This window comes from Homo sapiens, chromosome 8 (genome assembly GCF_000001405.40).
Source record: "Homo sapiens chromosome 8, GRCh38.p14 Primary Assembly".
In the NCBI taxonomy this organism is placed as follows: Eukaryota; Metazoa; Chordata; class Mammalia; order Primates; family Hominidae; genus Homo; species Homo sapiens.
Genome location: NC_000008.11, coordinates 66,327,453 through 66,345,884, shown reverse-complemented (window position 1 = coordinate 66,345,884; position 18,432 = coordinate 66,327,453). Strand labels below are relative to the sequence as shown.

The following is an 18,432-nucleotide window of genomic DNA, read 5'->3' as shown; positions in this document are numbered from 1 at the left end:
GGCCACAGGGCTCCCTGCCACATTTCCTGCGGTGTCTCCTGCTGATGGGATCCCAGCATTCAGCCGCTCCAGAGACGTCCATTTACCTGGGCTCAGCTGGTCCCTTCTAGTTACTTCCACACACAATTCTCAGAGTTTAGGAATTCGCTTTGAGCAAGGCAAGGCACTGATTGGTAATTGTATTTTTTTTTTTGTAATTGTATTTGTTTTCTAGTGTTGCTGTGACAATTTAACACAAACTTAACAGCTTAAACAATACAAATTTATTATCTTACAGTTCTGGGATGTCAGAAGTTCCAATGTGGGTCCCACAGAGCTAAAATCAAGCTGTTGGCAGAACTACTTTCAGTTCTGAAGGCCCCGGGGGAGAATCTGTTTCTATCCCTTTTCCAGTGTCCTTGGCCCATGGCCCCTTCCTCCGTGTGGCTGGCAGAGCCTTCCTCTTGTTGCCTCTCTCTGCACCTCCTTCTGTCATCCTGTCTTTCTCTCTCCGCAGTTGGAAAGGGTCTCTACTTTTAAGGGTCTGCCAAGATAGTCTTATTGGTTTAGGAGCTTCAAACTTAGTCACATCTGCAAAGTCCCTTTGTCATGTAAGGTGACATATTCACAGATTCCAGGGATTAGGATGTGGACATTTTCTGGGGAAGGGGGAGATTATTCTGCCTACCACAGGAATGAAGCTGAAAATGAGATGTCTGATGTCATCAGTTTAGAGTGCAAACAATGTCACCCATAGAGACTCAGATGTCACCCCTAATTGGTACACCTGAGGCCTGATCTGACTTTTGAGTAGGAGGTTCTGGGTCTGAGGTGAGGGTGGGAGGTGAGCCCTCCTGTGACCAGTTCCTGATTCCCAGTGATTTAATCCAGGCTGTGAGCCTTGGTTCATTTTGCCTTGGAGAGAGTTAAGTGTTCAGTACCCTAAGCACACTGTCACTGCCCCGGCGTGGGCATCTGGTAGGGTCATTCAAGGGCTGTCTGCTGCAGAAAGTGAGGTGGTGTGGAGGTTGCCACATACAAAGCCTGCTGGCACTGCCACTGCTGCTTTGGCAGTACTGACTCAGGCAGGGTGGGAGAGTAGTGCCTCCTTCACTCATGGAAGCCTCATGCCTAAGTAGCCCAAGGATCTCAATGAGAACTTCCTTTAATGATGTGGCTTTTTTAGTCTGTTCATGGATCAACAGGCACTTCCCTGTGGTTAGCTGCCTCTACGGCCTGGTGAGATTCCCTTTGACCATCTGAGCCCTAACACCAGGGTGACCCTGAGGGTACTGCTTTCCTAACTTTCATAACTTCCATAAGTATGGCAACTTCAAAGCAGGAAGCAAATGAGATGGATTTCCCAATTCCTTCTTTTTCACAAAGCCCCTGGGCTTCTTATGCAAACTTATCCACCCCTCAGGCAACCTTCAAGCTTAATCCATTAATGGAATGTGTGTGGGGACAGGGAGTGGGGCCCTGGTGCTAGCGTGTTTGTTGAGTGACTCAAGGGGCCATTTTGGTGACTTGTCCAGAAATAAGCAAGGCTTCAGGACAACTCAGTGTCACTACTATCAAAAACCAAACAACAACTGGCAATTTCCAAATGATGATTCTTTCCATAAAGAATATTTAAAATTCCATTTTGCTGGGCATTACACTAGGGCAGCAGTCTTCAAACTTTTTGTCTTAAGACCTTAGTCCACTCTTACAAACAATTGAGTCTCTCTGCTTTTGTTGATGTGAGTTATATCTATTGATATTTATAATATTGAAATTAAAATTGAGAAATTTAAAAAGTTACACATGCATTCATCTTAATAATAAAAAACTCATTTTGTGTTAATATAGTTAACCCATTTCTGTGAAATCTAACTATATTTGTCCAAATACAAATTTGTGAGAGGAGTTGCCTTGTTTTACATTTTTGCCACTTTGTCAGCTGAAGAATAAGAGTCATAAATTTGAAAAGGAGAGCTTTATTTCTCATAAAGCGTTGCAACCTGCAGGGGGGCCATTCTGACAGGCTGGGAAGCATAGCCTTCAGTAAGAAGCTGGACAGACACCTCGAGGGAGGAGCAAAGGAAGCAGGAAGTTATGCTAAGGGGAATGGCTTAATATATATAACATATATAAGACAGAGGAGGAGTCATGAATATTTATGAAAGGAGAAATGTGCACATGTGCAATTGAGCTTCATGCCTCATTCATGGGTCCCATGTACAAAACATGGCGGTGTTAGGATGATCTGATGGTGGAATTTTTGGCCCTCTGATGTCAAAAGGCGAGGCAGAGGACACAAAAACCTTTACTATGCATTCTCTATAGGCTGGCCAGAACCGCTCCGTGGTCAGTGGTCTCTTAGCAGGAAGAAATGCTGTTGGTTGGTATGCCAAAACAACAAAAGGAGGGGCAGCGTCAGGCAGTTGGTTAAAGCAGTGGTGGAGTCCTTTTTTTTTTTTTTTTTAAGACATGGTCTTGCTCTGTCACCAGGCTGGAGTACAGCGGCTGATCATAGCTCCCTGCAGCCTCTGCCTCCTGGGCTGAAGCTATCCTCCTACATCAGCCTCCTGAGTAGCTGGGATTACAGGTATGTGCCACCATGCCCAGCTAGGTTTTTGTAGAGACAGGGTTCTCCATGTCTCCCGGGCTGGTCTTGAACTCCTGGGCTCAAGCAATCTTCCCTCCTTGGCCTCCCAAATTTCTGGGATTACAGATGTTTGCCACTGTGCCAGTGGAATCTTTTGAAAGGGTTGGCTTCTGTTTAGCCCTTAGGGAAGAAAGTATAATTCTAGTTGTGAGGGAGGGGGTATAACAAGAGGCTTGTCTGACCTCCTATCCTATCATGGCTGAGAACTCAGTTTTCAAGGTTACTCTGGGCCAAAAAGAGTTGGTTGGGGAGCTTAGGATTTTATTTTTATTTCTCAGCTTTATGTTTGGCATTGAAGGAAACCAGAGAACTTCATCGCCAAATATGCCTCTTTGACATAAACATTTTTGAGCTAGAGACAATTTGGAAGCAGCAATTATAAAAAAGGACTCTCTGAACTTTCCTTTCTCACATGTGTCAGGCCGTAAAAATTCTTGTGAAAAATATGCAGGGGGCGCTTCTTTCACCCCTTTCTGCCTGATTAGCTCAGAGACTGATGCCACTCGAGGCAGAAAAATCTGGGAGCAGACTTTACCACATTCCCATTGTTTTCCCACCTTTTGGGAGCCTGAAGCTGTTTATGCCTTTGTCTTCTCACTTCTAAATGTATTGTTGTTTGTTAGAGATGCTATATAAGCTGGGACCTTGACCCATCATTTTGTGAGATACTTTTGAACTGAAGTTTCTCCTGTGTTATGAGCACAGCACATGTAGATAGAAACACTTGTTTTTTTTTTCTTTCTTGTTATTCTGCTGTTTATTAACAGGAAACTGTCCCAGTGTAATTGCCCGATGGGTTCTTCTTGCCTGCTGCACAGACAAAGCCAATGTACCAAGAAAACAGTGTTGCAGTAGAGAAAGAGTTTAATTATCACAGGGCCTGCCAAACAGGAGGACGAGAGTTTATTACTCAAATCAGCCACCCTGAAAGCTCAAAAGCTTGGAGGCTAGGATTTTTAAGGATACTCTGGTGGGCAGGGTCTAGGAAATGGGCACTGCTGATGGGTTGGGGATAAAATCATAGGAGTGTTGGAACTATATTCATGCTGTGAGTCGGTTTCTAGAGGGAGATTATGGGACTGATTGAGTCACAGGTCTTGGAGGGTTTGGGTGGCATCAGTTGGTCTGTCTAAATGCAAAAGTCTGAAAAATATCTCAAATGCTAGTCTTAAGTTTTACAATGACAATGTTTTCTATTGGGGCGATTAGGAAACTTACAGCAGCAAGCAATGACTAGTTATCATTTAACCATGCATAGATTTTAGCAGAATTCAGGTCCCTCCCATAATCCTAATCTTGTGGCCTTTCATTAGTTTTACAAAGGAGGTTTCAGTCCCTGAGCAAGGAAGGGGTTAGTTTTGGGGAGGGACTATTGTTATCCTTGATTGAAAGTTAAACTATAAACTAAATTCCTCCCATGGTTAGCTTGGGTTATTGGAATGAGTAAGGACAGCCAGCTTGTGAGGCTAGAAGCAGGACGGGGTCAGCCATGCTAAACTCTCTCACTGTCATAATCTTTGCAAAGGCAGTTTCGCCCACTACAGACTTAAAAGTTTTGTGAAAATTATTGCTTTCTCCCCTTCAGCTTAATAGAAGACAGTTGGGTTTTTCATATTTACTTCTGTCTTCAATCTTTAGTGCTATCACACTTTGGAACAGATACCCTGGGGTAACTTCAAATCGTGGGCGCGAAAGTACTTTGGACAAAATAAAGCACCATCAAAATGCTAGGTGTTTGCTATTTCTATAAGGGTTGCTAAAACATGAAGTAACAGGAAATTCCTCCTGAGGCTCATAACCTCTCAGAATCAAACAGACCCAGAAATGAGATGTTTCTTTCCTGCAAGAATTTCAGACAGAAATCACATTTTCACAGATACTTGCATGAAAAGGGTCCATAATTTCACCAAACACCAAACAAATCTGACTCCATGCAAGACAAACTTCTGTTGTTCTACACAGAATTCTATGAGATACAGTTTGGAAAATTGCATATAATCTATACTGCATTAAAAAAAGCTTTTACACACATTCTTTCAACTAATCTGTATACCTTTGAGAGGTAGGTAGTCTGAAGCTCAGAGAGATTAATGGACAAATGACTTGCCAAATGTTGCATAGTTTTGATAAGCGGTGAAATGCAGGTTTTTCTGATTCTAATGCAATCACTTTGTTTATTACATTACTATGCCTCTGGGTAGTTTACCTCATGCTCATGGGGCTCTAAAGAAGACAGTCAGAGGAAAGATGTGTCTGATATGCTGCAGAGGGAGGAAGGTATATTGGGAAAAGTTTTAATGTGGCTGCCAGCCCACACAGCTGTGGGAACTATTGCCTTTAGGGATTGTGGTGACTCGGGAGATGAAATGTAGGACACTAGAGCATTAGCAGGAGGTGGAAGTTAAGGATCTGTAAGTAAAATTTTCTCCTTTGCGATTTTATCCAACTCTGTCCCTGACTATAATGTGGTTTCTTCAGAAATTGCTGACAAAGAACCCAAAGATAGAAAATTAGTTCAACATTAGAAACTATTACATGAATGCCTCCAAATAAAGTTGAAGATGTGTTCCTGTGCTGCAAGTGTCACCCAGAGGTCTTGAGTGACTCATCCATCCAATTACCAGCCAGGTCCAGAACAGTGAAGGACCAGAAACCATTGCTTATTGAGTTTTTCATTTCTCCTCAGATGGCTTTCTCTTGTTTTCCTAAACCCTCAGAAACAAGAATTTTTCTTTACCAGTATGGCTTACTTTGGTGGGTACTTCCCAGTTATTGTCTTAATTGACCTGTCTAGAGCCCAAACACTGTGAAAACATTCCTTTCACTTCCCTTGGGTTCCATGATATCAACTTGCCTGGGCTTCTTCCTACCTCTCTGAATGACCCTGCTCAATCCACTCTGTAGGCTCCTCTTCTTGGCCAGCCCTTAAATGATATGTCCACTGAGACCCTCTTCTCTTTTCCTTAGTTCACTCTTCCTGGTCGTGAATCCACTTTCTTGGTTTCTATATCCACCTTGTTTGCTGCTAACTCTAAATATTCATCTCAGCTCCAGATTTATGTCTAGCTCAGACCCATCTATCCGTTTGCCTTTTGGAGGTCCTACAGGCTCTTGAAACCAAACACATCCAAAATGGAACTCATTTTTACTGCTGTTCCCCAACTTGTTTCTCTTTTGGTGTTCCCCAGCTAGCAAATGGCACCATTATTTACATAATTGTTCCAACCAGAGACTCAGGAATCACATTGGACATTTCTCTCTCTTTCACTGCCTGTAGATAATCAATCAGTGAATTTAATGCTGGCCACCATTCTATTAAGCTCTTTACAGCAGTGACTCTCAGGAGTGGGAAGCATCTCTCTGTCTTTAATCTTCCTCCCACCAACTCATGCTCTTGTCTTTCTGAACTGTAGGCCTACTCATATTACCCTACCTCCTAACTCAGTGGTCCTCATTGCTCTTAGGGTGTTAACACTATTTTTTCACCTCACACCTTGCCATTCCATTTCCTTGCATTCCACACACCAAGCCATATCAAAAATCTTTCAGCTCCTGGAATGAACCATTTTTCTTGGTCTTGCTTCCTGATTTTACAAGTCAGTTTCCTCCCTTGGAACAGTGTCCCCTTTTCTCTACCTCTGTGTCTACCTAAGTCAATCTTCAGGTTTAAGCCAAAATATCAGACCTCAAGGAAATCATTTCAAGATCACAAGGGATAGTAAAAGGCTGCCTCCCCATGCTTGCATATTACACAGAACCCTACCTTGGCTCTTCCCACACTGTGTTGCAGTTGCCTGTTTACTCATCTGTGTCCCTGCATGTGGTGGAACTCAGTTAGGGCAGGATCCCTGGTCACCTCCTTTACTGGACCCCACTTACCATGGTTATATCTCCAATATGTAGCACTATTTTTGGAACCATTATAAGCATCCTACTTTGGGCAGGTAACTTCATATCCTTGTTTCTTTCAGTTTACCAAATTGTAAATGGGAATAGAAATAGTATTTCTATTATCTCATGGATTTTCTGTGAATGGTGTCCATACATTTAGAATTTAGAATGGAACACTCAGGGGTTGCCTCAATAATCATCTCTAAACAAATTTTGTCATGTATCTTTGGAAACCTCCCACCCCAGCTCTCCCACCTCAAAGTCAATGCAGAGGCAGCAGCACCCCATGGTTAAAACGTGGATTCTGAAACCAGGCTGCCTGATTGAAAGGTGGGTTCTTCCACTTACTGGCTGTGTGACCTTGGGCAAATTATTTAACTGCTCAGTGCCTTCTAGCTTGCCCATCTGTAAAACGGGATTAGAAGTTGTATCTATCATAGAGTTGTTATGTCCCTGGCACATAGTAAGGATATTGTGAATGTTTTTTAAATAAATTAAAAATTTCAGAGAGAAGTAAATGTGCAGAAGTGAATGGCACCATATGGTTATCAGTGACAGTTGTTACGGAATGACTTCTCCCTGGGTCATGGACCCCAGTCAAACTCCAGAGCAGATCAGCTTCAGTAGCTCATTTATTATCTGTCCATACCTGCTACCAAATAGTTTCTGAGGCACAAATTTCCTAAGGGATGCAGCCTGTTCTCTTGGGAAGTGCAGTGCCTGTGAGGGAGGTGCATGAGTGCTGACAACTTTCAGGTCAGGATCAACACGCTGGCTACATTTTGCAGTGCCATTTCACATGAATAAATGTCAGCAGGTGTAGGGGACAGAAGAGGTTTGAAGGGGCCACTAAAGGTGGGCTCCCAGCAGATGTGAGCTTCGTGTCTGAGGCCTGACAGACTCTGGGATTTTTTCTGACAGTGGGAAGAACAGGCTGCCTTTTCCTAAACTCTTGTTATACTAAGTCTGAAGGTAAAACCTGACATGTTTGCGATAGCTCAGTTCATTTACCTTGTAAGGCCCAAATGTCCATAATTAGCCCTCAATTATTCAACATGCAGCTTCTCTTCCTTCCTCTCTCCTACTGTATAGCTTTTGACAGCCTCTACACCGAGTAGCCAAAATCAAATATGTTCACTCACTACTCACTAATAGCCTGAAGAAAGGATTTTAGGCCATGAAACTACAACCACGGGGCAATACAGAGTTTGGACTAGACTTGTGTTATAGGTTGAACTGTGTCCCCTGCTAAAGAAAAAATTATTCAATACTTGTCAAAACATGGTAAACAAGACTCTATTCAGAACCAATGAGACAGGCATAGGGACCACTGCAATATATGGAGAGAGACTGGACTCAGCTCTGAATACAGCATGGGCAAGTGGGAATTTATAGCCAAGAGCAGGGTTGGAGTTGGTGAATAGAAAATTACTAAGAAGAAACATCAGGGGTAAGGGGGTATTCTGGCTAAACCGACCTAATAGGATTCTTGCTGAAGATCAGGCCAGGGTGGTCAACAGAGGTATGGTAGAGGTATGATAGGGTGATCAGATATTGAGGGTAGGGGGCTGTTACTAAACTGACTTAGCAGAGTTCTTGCTAAAACTGGATTTTACAAGGAAGTGCACAGTTGGGCCTAGGGGAAGGTTCAGGAGATTGATTAAAATTTAGCCAAGCAGAGAATCTTTGTCATCCCCCAAAAAGATATGCTGGAGTCCTAACCCTCAGTACTTTGAAATGGGACCTTATTTGAAGAAAGGGTCTTTTTAAATGTAATCAAATTAAAATGAAGTTATTAGAATTGGCCCTCATCCAATATGACTGATGTACTTATAAAAGGGGAAATTTGGACACAGAGACAGACATAGAGGAAATACTATGTGAAGAGATACAGGAAGAAGATGGCCATATGTAAGCCAATGAGAGAGCCCTAAAACATCTTCCCCTCTCAACCTTCAGAAGGAACCAACCCTGCCAAGACCTTGATCTTAGACTTCTACCCTCCAGAACTTTGAGACAACACATTTCTGTTGTTCAAGCTACTCAGTTTGTAGAACTTTGTTACAGTTTGCTAACTTTGTTAGCCCTAGGAAATTAATGCACCTTGGATTTAGACTCCTACTTAGGAGTCTTTGCCCCTGTTACCACTGTTACCATGTGTCTCCCTGACTTTCCCCAGTTAGTTTCCTGGGTGAAGATGATGGGTGTGAGTAAAAACAGCGATATTTTGTTCCAGCCTCCATCAGCAGAATTTCTAGACTTGTCTCCCTGTCTTTGTCTTCGGTAGTCATTAAAGAGCTCTTGCTGTAACATTGGGTGCTCATTTTCATTCTGACCTGTGGCCTTAGCCATTGCTATTGACCTAGCCAGTTTCAAAGAAGTACTGTACAAAAGGAACCTATCTCTGTTTGACCAAACTTTTCTAAAACTTATTTGACCTCAGAACAATTTTGTCATATAACACATAGAGCAGCTTTTGGGAATTACTGCTCGCGGTATTTTAGATCTCCTGGGAATGACTAAGATGATTTTTCAAGGAGAAATTGGGATCAGATGCTGGATTGGGAGACAGGTCTTAGAATTCTCTTGAGGTAGAAATTATACTAATCAATAAGGCCAGTAATATTTTGGACCAGATGATTCTTTGTTGTGGAAGTCTGTTCTGTGCATTGTAGGGCATTTAACAGCACTACTAGATGCTTCTACCCGCTAGATGCCAGTAGCACCCACCTCCAACTTGTGACAATTTAAATGTGTCCATGCATTGCCAAGTGTCCCTCGGGGGACAAAATTGCTCTGGTTGAGAATCACTAATTTAAGATCACTTAAAAAGTTCACAAACTGACATTCATTTTCCAAATGAAAAGTGTCAAGATAGGAGAGTGAGCTGGAAGACTGAATTGTGTGTGTGTGTGTGTGTGTGTGTGTGTGTGTGTGTGTGTGTGCATGCACGTGCCTTGGGGAGGGGTAGGGTAGAAAGGTAGCACCCTCTATGGAGTTATTTACAAAGAGATGCAGGGAAGAGGCACAAGATGTATTCATGCCCCATTGATTCTGAGACTTCTGTGGGTTTACTGGGTTCTCAGTAACTTCCCCATTTTTTGCTGATTTTGTTATTGCATGGGTATTTCTCCATACAGCAAGTGTTAGTAAAACTCATATGGAAAAAAGAATCTGTATTTTAGGGAGCAAAAGCTATGAGGAAATGTGCATATATGAATGAGTTAGATTTGGCAGAAGACTTGAACCAACCAAGCTCTTTTCTGCCTCAGGATCTTTGCACAGGTTACTCATTCTACCTCGAAATCATTTTCTTGCGATCTTAGACACCATCTTCAAGGAGAGACCTTACTAACTCCTCTCTCTACAGTAATCACCTGACCCAGAAGCTTATATTTTTAAGCTCACTGGTTAATTTTATTCCAATAAAGGGACAAAAGGTTTTTTTGAATTTTATTTTTATGTATTTTCAAGAAAACTGTTATCTTGTGTGTGGTATATATGTGGGATATCTAGGCTATTATATCAGGAAGTATTGGATCTTATTTAAATATTTTATTTTGACAGGCAGTCACTCTGTTTAGGTTTAGCATGCAAGTCCTGGCCTACTTTTGTGGGCTATGGTTTTTTTTTCCTCTCATTTTGTGACCAAGCAATGGTTATGGATGGGCTATGGTTTTAATAGCAACTTAATTTTCAGAGACTTTGTGGTGCCATTTTTGTCTGCTTGAATTATCTGGTGCCCTTGTGGCTTTAGCTGATCTCTGGTGGTGCTGCCTGAGGTGGTGGAAGTAGCTTCGCCAGGCCTGCATGATGGGCTGGTGGCTCTAGGTGAAGGAGAGGTCTCAGGCCTGGTAGGGACAAAGGACACCTCTAGGGCCATGTCTCCTGTGCCAGTTGTGTTTCAGAGAGGGTTCTTGGGCCTTTTTAGGAAAGCCTTTTCTTGGTCTCTTATTGTCAGCATAGCACAGATAGATTCTTCTTGCTGGTTCTACTGGGCTTGCTCAACCCAGAAATGCTATATCCCAACATCTTCATTATTTCTTTCATTGTACTTGTTATTTGAAGTAATATTTAGGTATTGATTTTCCTTTTTACTGTCTGTTTTCCACACTAGAATATAGCTCTTTGAGGGCAGAGATTATTATTATCATTTAAAAAAATTTACTGCTGCATGTCAGCACTTAGACAAAGTAGGTTCTTGGTACAAATTTGTTGAAGGAAAGAAGAAATTCCAAGAGATAGAAAAGATGGTGACAGCTGTTAAGGAGGACATGAGAGCAGATTGAATTCTTAAGATATGTTGCCTATCTGGGCAACAGGACTAAAATTCATTAACTATTTTGCTTCCTAAACACCTAGTGAGTTCCTCTTCTGAGCCAGACATTGTCTGTCACGTGTGAATTCGAAGTGAGCAGGATGCAGTTTTGGCCCCAGGGGCCTGTGGTCTAGTTGAGAAGACAGAACTATTGAACTGTGTGTTCTCCAACACTGGCAAAGGCCAAGGGGTTGTTATATGAAATATCAAAAAGACCTGATTTGGGACAGTCTGTTCCACCTCCTTAGCTTTGGATTAATTAGATAGTTCCTAACCAAATTTAAGTAAAGATTCCTCTTCCCTGACTATTCCCAAAAGAAGTTCTAATGACCTTAAGGTTTTTTACTTGAGTGAGAGAAATGATGACCAGTACATCCGGTGTTTTCAGGACAAGGGGAGGGTGGATTTCTTCCTCCTTGCCATATTTTCACAAATACTTGCTGGGTATTGATCATGTGCACTAGGCTAGAGATACAAAATAAGAGAAGACAAGGTCCTTGCTCAGTCTATTGTGGAGGGACTTGTGGAAATTGTTACAAAAGAGTAAGACAGTCACTCCAATGGAGAGAGGGAGAAGATGCTGGGGGAATGGGAAGAAGAAACTCTTTCATGTGCAGTGGAGTCAGGGAAGGCTTTCCAGAGAAGCTGGGCTTCTGGTTGGGCCCTAAAGAATGACAACTTTCCTGATGGCCAACCAGGAGGAGGCCAGCCCTCCTGGAAGGACGAGCTGCTGTAAATGGGCAAGTTCACATGGTAAGTTTGTGGATCTATAAGAATTTTAGTATTGTTGGCATGAAAAAGCAAAAGAAACAAGAGATGAAAAAAGAAGTGGAAAGTAAAGTCAAGTACCAGACTGAAGGATCTGCTATGCAAGCAAAGGTGTTTGCCTTTTATTGCCTAGGGTGCTGGGATTTTTAGACTGCAATTAGAATTACCTGGGGAAGGTCAGGTGCAGTGGCTCATGCCTGTAATCCCAGCACTTTGGGAGGCTGAGGTGGGCAAATCGCTCAAGTCCAGGAGTTCAAGACCAGCCTGGGCGACATAATGAAACCCCGTCTCTACCAAAAATACAAAAATTAGCTGGGTGTGGTGGCACACAACTGTAGTCCCAGCTACTTGGGAGGCTGAGGTGGGAGGATCACCTGAGCCTGGGAGGCGGAGTTTGCAGTGAGCCGAGATCAGGCCATTGCACTCTAGTCTGGGCAACAGAGAAAGACCCTGTCTCAAAAAAAAAAAAAAAAAAGAATTACCTGGGGGAACTTCTGATTCAATAGGTGTGGGGTTAGGCCTGAGCACTAGAATTGTTTTTAAACTTTTTATTGAGATATAATATACATTCATGTTCAACTTCTACTCCTTTCACGCCTGCTACTGGCTAGTCTCCAAATGTGCTGTTTTAAAAGTTTTCTGTCTTTTCTTCTGTGCATGCTTTTCGTAGAATGTCCTCATGTTTGACCCTGTTTCTCTAACTCTTAATTGGCTATCATGACTCACTTCTAGCATTGCTTCTTCTAGGAGGCCATCCCTGGCATTTCCTGGCAGTTATGAATCCCTCCCCTGCATTTCCATAGAACCTTGTACATGATTTTCCGTGACTGGTATCTAGTTGACTGAGTTTGGGTCTTGGGCAGAATACCATGAGTTACTCATTCTACCCGGACTGAATTCACTGGGGAAGTCAAAATTTGAAATGAACACTGGGCATCAAAACAGCAAGTATACTTTTCAAAGTTTTATAGACCCATATTGTTCCTAAAGATATTTAAGGTGCCTGTCTTTCTGCTAGACTGTGAGTTCCTTAAGGGCAAATATTGTGTGGTATTAATCTTTGAATCCTTAGGTCCGAGGCAAGCGCTTGGCTCAATAAATGTGAAGTGAGGCGTTCCTGCCCTTAGTCTTAAAGCTATGGGTTTATTTTGAGGTCTATCTTGAGTGGCATTTATCCTTTCTAAAGTGTCTGCACTTTATTCTGTCAGGCTCCCCAGGGCTTCAAGGATGAAAAAAAAAATGCATGATAGCTTTTGAAATTGTCATTCACCAGAGGAAGTCTTTGAGAATCTCTAAATCAGCTCCTTTTCACTTGGCATCCTGAAGAAGGGATGCCAGAATGTAAGGGTCAGTGATGGGAGGACGGTGGAGCATGCAGCTGGAATACAAATGCCATGAACCCATGGACAAACATCCTCTCTGCCTGCCAGAATTCACATTGGTGATAAGGAAGACAGGAGAGGTTTTTGGACTTAGGGTGAGAGGTGCCCAACACAAAGTGAATGAGGTGGGTGGACAGACCAGTATGGAGGCAGGGAATGTTGCTTTAATTCTACCATATCTGATGAAGTTTCTCAAAGGATTGCTTTTAACTTATATTTCAAAACTGGAGGGAAAAGAAAAGCTGATCATCAGGGAAGTTGACACCTAAGTGCTAGCTTATAAGCACATTTTCTAGATCCTGGGTCATTTCATAGTATTTCTCTGGAGAGAGGAGTGTTTTTCCACCAAACTCACTACTTCTTTAGGGGCAGACTTGGATTTGGTTTTATGAACAGTAATGATTTTTTTAATAAGGTGTGCTTTACTTTCACACAGGATGGTATGATTCATAAAATAAAGCTATTATGGCTTAATTATCCTTTCCAGGAATAAACCCTATTTCCTGTAGCAATCATTCCCATTGTAAACCAGCTAGGTCCTTGTATAATTGATTGTTGTCTTGTCTGGCCACATTAAATGTCACAAAATACTTTAGAGTGAGAGATGAAAGACAAGAAAGAAAGCAAGAGGAGAGAAAAATGGCAGAGGGACACCTGGTGGACCCCCCAACAGAGAATGTCTCAACACAACACATACCTATTGGAGCTCCCGGGAGGAAGATGGAGGAGATGGCAGAACATTTTCATTGAACTGACCATCTCTGTAGAAATTTGGTTGAGTAATCAAAGCTGTCTTTCCAGTGTTAAGATGAATGGACTTACCTGTCCTCTGTCCTTCCCTCCTCACCTCCCCTACCTATCTGGGCAGCTTGGACTACGGAATTCCTTAATCAGCTCAGTGGAAATAATGAGTGCTGTAGTGACCTGCCTGGCCTCCGTTCCCCCTTCCCCTGGTGGTACAAGCACTTTTATTTTCCTCTGGAGTGGGGGTGCAGGTGAACACCGGTCTTGCCTATGTAAACTTCTTCCATCTGAGTCCTGAGGCTGGCTTACAGAAAACAGTCCAAATTCTTTGGCATGGGAAACAAATAGGCAGCATAATGAAAGAGATATTTTGGGAATAATAATATAGCAGTAGAAACTAAAGGCAGGGAGTAAATTAGCAGCCAATTAGAGTAGTTTGGTATGATATTGGCCTCAACCAGGAAGGCACTGTGCCAGAACTATTATTTAGAAATAATTTGAACAAAGAATGTACACTGAAAGCCTATCAGGAGCCAAGCCCTGGGCTAAGTACTTTACATTCAGGATCTCATTTATGACAGAAGTAATTCCCCTTCCAGGAGCCTTTTATAGCAGCCATACTTGTCTGCTATAGCACTTTTCACAACTGGTAACTACATATCCATTTATTTGGTTACTTGTTTTAATGTTTGCCTCTACTCACTATATTTTCAACTATGTGTCTGGCACATAATAGATGCTCAAAATGTTTGTTCAATGAATAAATGAATATGTTTTAGTTAGGATTCTTGAACTTAGATTAATGAGAAGAAAACTCATGGAATTCTAGAAAACCCGAATAACCAGAATGCAGGAAGGGGCTAAGCAAGGCAGCTCTGGGAACCTCAGCAACTCTATCCTCACTCCAGAACTTGGCCTTTAATGTGAATCAATTCTCAATGCTCTGGGGCTATGGCTGTCTGTTTAAATTGTTGAGAGAGATTCTGATTGGCACAGTTTGGTTGGGTGTCCACTCATGACCCACTCAGCTATGAGCAGAAGGGTAGAGTCAATGGGAGGTACACAGGAATACCCCCGTTGTGGGTGGTAAGGAGGCAGTTCTTGGAGAAAGGGAATTTCTAAAGGCTAAGAAGGTAACCCAAATTATGTTTGCTATAATACAGGACTGGAAGCAAGAATGTTACACTATGTGTAGAGATGTTTTGAAAAGATGTGCACCGTGACAAGGTGTCTGGATGCCAGGGCTCCAGTCCCAGACTCAACACTTCCTTCCTATGTGATCCTGGGCAGATAACTTAATCTCTTTGTGCTTCAGTGTCCTCATCTGCAAAGTGAGGATTCACAATAGTATCAACCACTTGGACTTGTTACAAGTTTTACATGAGAGAATGCGTGTAAAACACTATGTTCCTGGCATTGTAAGCACTCAGTGGTTGTTAGCTAGCATCATTCTTGCAATTGAAGCTAAGGAATTTCCATCCAGAATATCTTTTCTCTTTAGTACAATAAAGAATCCCATCAAGACTTTCTTAGGATAGGTAACTTCTGGAAGGGAGTTGGGCTTAGTGTGATGAAGAGTTTCAAATTTGAGGAGATATGATCTCAACAAGTCCAAAGAATTCATGAAATCATTTGATCCTCAATTCTAACAGTTCATTAAAACAGCAAAGTAGATTTAACATCAATCTCCACATAGGCCCTGAAAAAATCACTTCTTCTGTGCTTGCTAGTTCCGCTAGGCTGTGAAGGTCAGAGATTGCATTTCAGGGTCAGTTTCTCTTCACCTAGACCCAATGTTGTGGCACAGAACCCACAGGCCAGTGCTAACAGGAAAGTGATGCAGTAAGCCATTAGCTGTTGAGGCTTCTGACCTAATCACTCTACTAATGCTTTTGAAGGGCTAAGGTGAAACTTGTAATCTGTAGCTGTTGTGGTAGGCAGACCAGGCAACTGGATATGCTTATGGATCTACTTAAATCAAAGGTCATTGATTTTATTTCTTCACATTTAGCATTATAATCGGAAACATGGATTACAAATGTCAGCCTATACTTCTGGAAGCCAAATGAGTTCCTCTGCCAAGTGTCAGAAGGGACATCGAGAAGCAGGTTGGAAAAAAGACCCTTCAGAAACTTTGTAAAAAGTGATTATACATCAAATATGAGGTTTTCTTTCAACTTAATCATATCTCCCTTTTGGTCCCCTGAGGTCTGGGTTTCTGCTTTCCATGCCGAGGGATATATGGATAACAACCTCCATTTAAAGTCAGTTTACATAAGGTGATATTATATATAATTAGAATAATTTCTTTGAGATTCCGATTGCTTTTGGATCCTAAAATTTCCTTTGGTTGTCAGGTCATGTATCACTTAAATGCAGACGCATCTGCAGGTGGAGAGTCAAGGAGAAGGGGTCTCCTTCTTTAAAAACACATGGGTCTAGGTTTCAGAGAATCTTAGCACTGGAAAGGAATGTAGAGATCTGCTGGCCTGAAACTTCTATCATGTCAACTGAAGAAAGATGAAATTCAAATTTAGAAAGGAAAGCTTCATTTCTTATAAAGGTTTGCAGCCCGCAGAGCAGCCATTCTGACAGGCTAGGAAGCTTAACCTCCAGTCTCCAGCAGGAAACAGACACCTTGAGGGTTGGAAGAGTAAGACAGGGATTTATGCAGGACAGGGTGGCCAAATATACATATTCAATAAGCTGTAGGAGGAGTCATGAATATTTATTTATTTATTTATATTTATTTTTGAGACAGAGTATTGCTGTGTCGCCCAGACTGGAGTGCGGTGGTCCCATCTTGGCTCACCACAAACTCCGCCTCCTGAGTTGCAGAGATTCTCCTGCCTCAGCCACCCAAGTAGCTGGGATTACAGGCATGTGCCTCTATGCCCGGCTAATTTTTGTATTTTTAGTAGAGACGGGGCTTCACCATGTTGGCCAGGCTGGCCTCGAGCTCCTGACCTCAGGTGATCTGCCCCCTTCGGCCTCCGAAAGTGTTGGGATTACAGGCATGAGCCAAGGAGTCAGGAATATTTATGAAGGGAGAAACATGCACATGCGCAATGGAACTTCATGCCTTTCCGTGGGTTATAGGTTAAAAAAATTGCGGCCTTAGTATGATCCAGAGATGGAATTTTTGGTGCTCTGACATCAAAGAGTGAAGCAGAGGACACAAAAACCCTCATTGCATGTCCTCTGTAAACTGCCCAGAAACAGTGTGGCTGGTGGTCTCTCATCAGGAAGGAATGCTGGTGGATTGTGGTGTGGAGAACGCAAGAGGAAGGGGCAGCATCAGGAAGTTGGTTGATATAGGCAGTGGAGAGAGTCTTTCAAAAGGGCTGGTTTCTACTTAACTTTTAGGGAAGAAAGCCTAAGGGCCATTAGCGAGAGGGGTGTGTAAGAGGTGTGTTCAATCTCTCATTTTCTCAGGGCTGGGAACTCAGTTTTAAGATCCTCTGGGGTCTTCTTGGCCAAGAGGGTTGGAGGATTCATTCATTCATTCAAGAGGGCTGGGGGATTTAAGATTTTATTGTTTCTCAGTATCATATATGAGAAAACTAGAGACAAGAGAAGTTACATGTTTAGTTCAAGGACACTCATCTCTAGAGGGGCAGAGGTGAACTTCTGGATGAATAGATGAAAGTCCTCTCTACTGAATATCATGAGCAAAAACCAAGTCAGACTCCTGTCACTTACCCTAAAGAGAAGTTGGTTACTGTGAGGATTATTTTGTTTTACCCTTTGGGGCTTTGACATTGTTGTTCAGACAGCTCTACTTTTGATGTTTGTTATCTAGGGTGCTTAGAGCTCTCAGTAGTATGCTTCTAGATAAAAGGTTCTAGATAATTCTGTCAGATGCAATTTCATGCATTAACTTTTGGAGTTGAGATTATGGTTTTGGCTAGTTTAATGACTGCTGTGATTCGCATGTGTGAGCTTAAGCCAAAAGGCTCTTAGACTGACCAATATAACCTCATTTGGTAACTTCCATTTTCATGGATGGGTGTAGATATGTTCTATTCATCAATTATTTTCTTCTAGCAATGTGATAAAGCCCTTCTAACCCAAGTATAATATTAGGAAAAGTCTAGTGAATTAATGTATGCTCTTAGGTGGTAATCTTTTAAACATTAGGAAAGGCTTTTTAAGTCTCTGTAGGTAGGTCTTGTCCCATCTATTAGGTTTTGAAGGGAAGGCGAGGGTTAAAGAAAGACACACACACACAAACACACACACACACACACACACACACACACACACACACGGTGGCTCAACAATAACACAGGTATATTGCAGACACCTGCGGAAGTGGGGGACCAGGTTAATGCCAGAGCCCACCACTGCTTACAGGCTGGGGTATTTATCGGTATGGGCGGGAGGGGTCTAGGCAGTATGGCTTGCTGCCCGGCAAGATATTGATAAGATGTTCCTATGATCAGGTGGTTTGGCCCCTTTTCAGGTGGGATGTGATAGGATGTTCCTCGGACCTTTGCCTGGTAGGGTATGATAAGAATGTTTCTTCAGTTGGGGCTTTGTCCGGCTTGTGGTCAGGTGGTTAGGCAGGGTGTTTCTCACGGCCCGAACCCCCGTGGGATGTTTCACTTTGACCAAGGTCTGAGGAATGGCAGGGGGCTTACAAAATGGTACAGTTTGGACTAACATTCTAGCCTTCTACTTTAGTATAAAAGGAAGAG

The 18,432-nt window shown here is 42.4% G+C and overlaps 1 long non-coding RNA gene across 5 annotated transcripts in view; it reads left to right on the top strand.

The window, feature by feature from the left end:
• The window catches only part of LOC102724687 (uncharacterized), a 233,269-nt gene that overhangs the window by 86,482 nt on the left and 128,355 nt on the right, over positions 1-18,432 (top strand). Inside the window, exon 1 of one of the 5 annotated variants that reach the window (XR_001745952.2) lies at positions 2,668-5,040. The exons of the other annotated variants lie outside the window; for them this stretch is intronic. This is a non-coding gene — a long non-coding RNA (uncharacterized LOC102724687). Of the gene's footprint in view, positions 1-2,667; positions 5,041-18,432 lie in introns of those variants that run through there. 5 annotated transcript variants of the gene reach the window in all.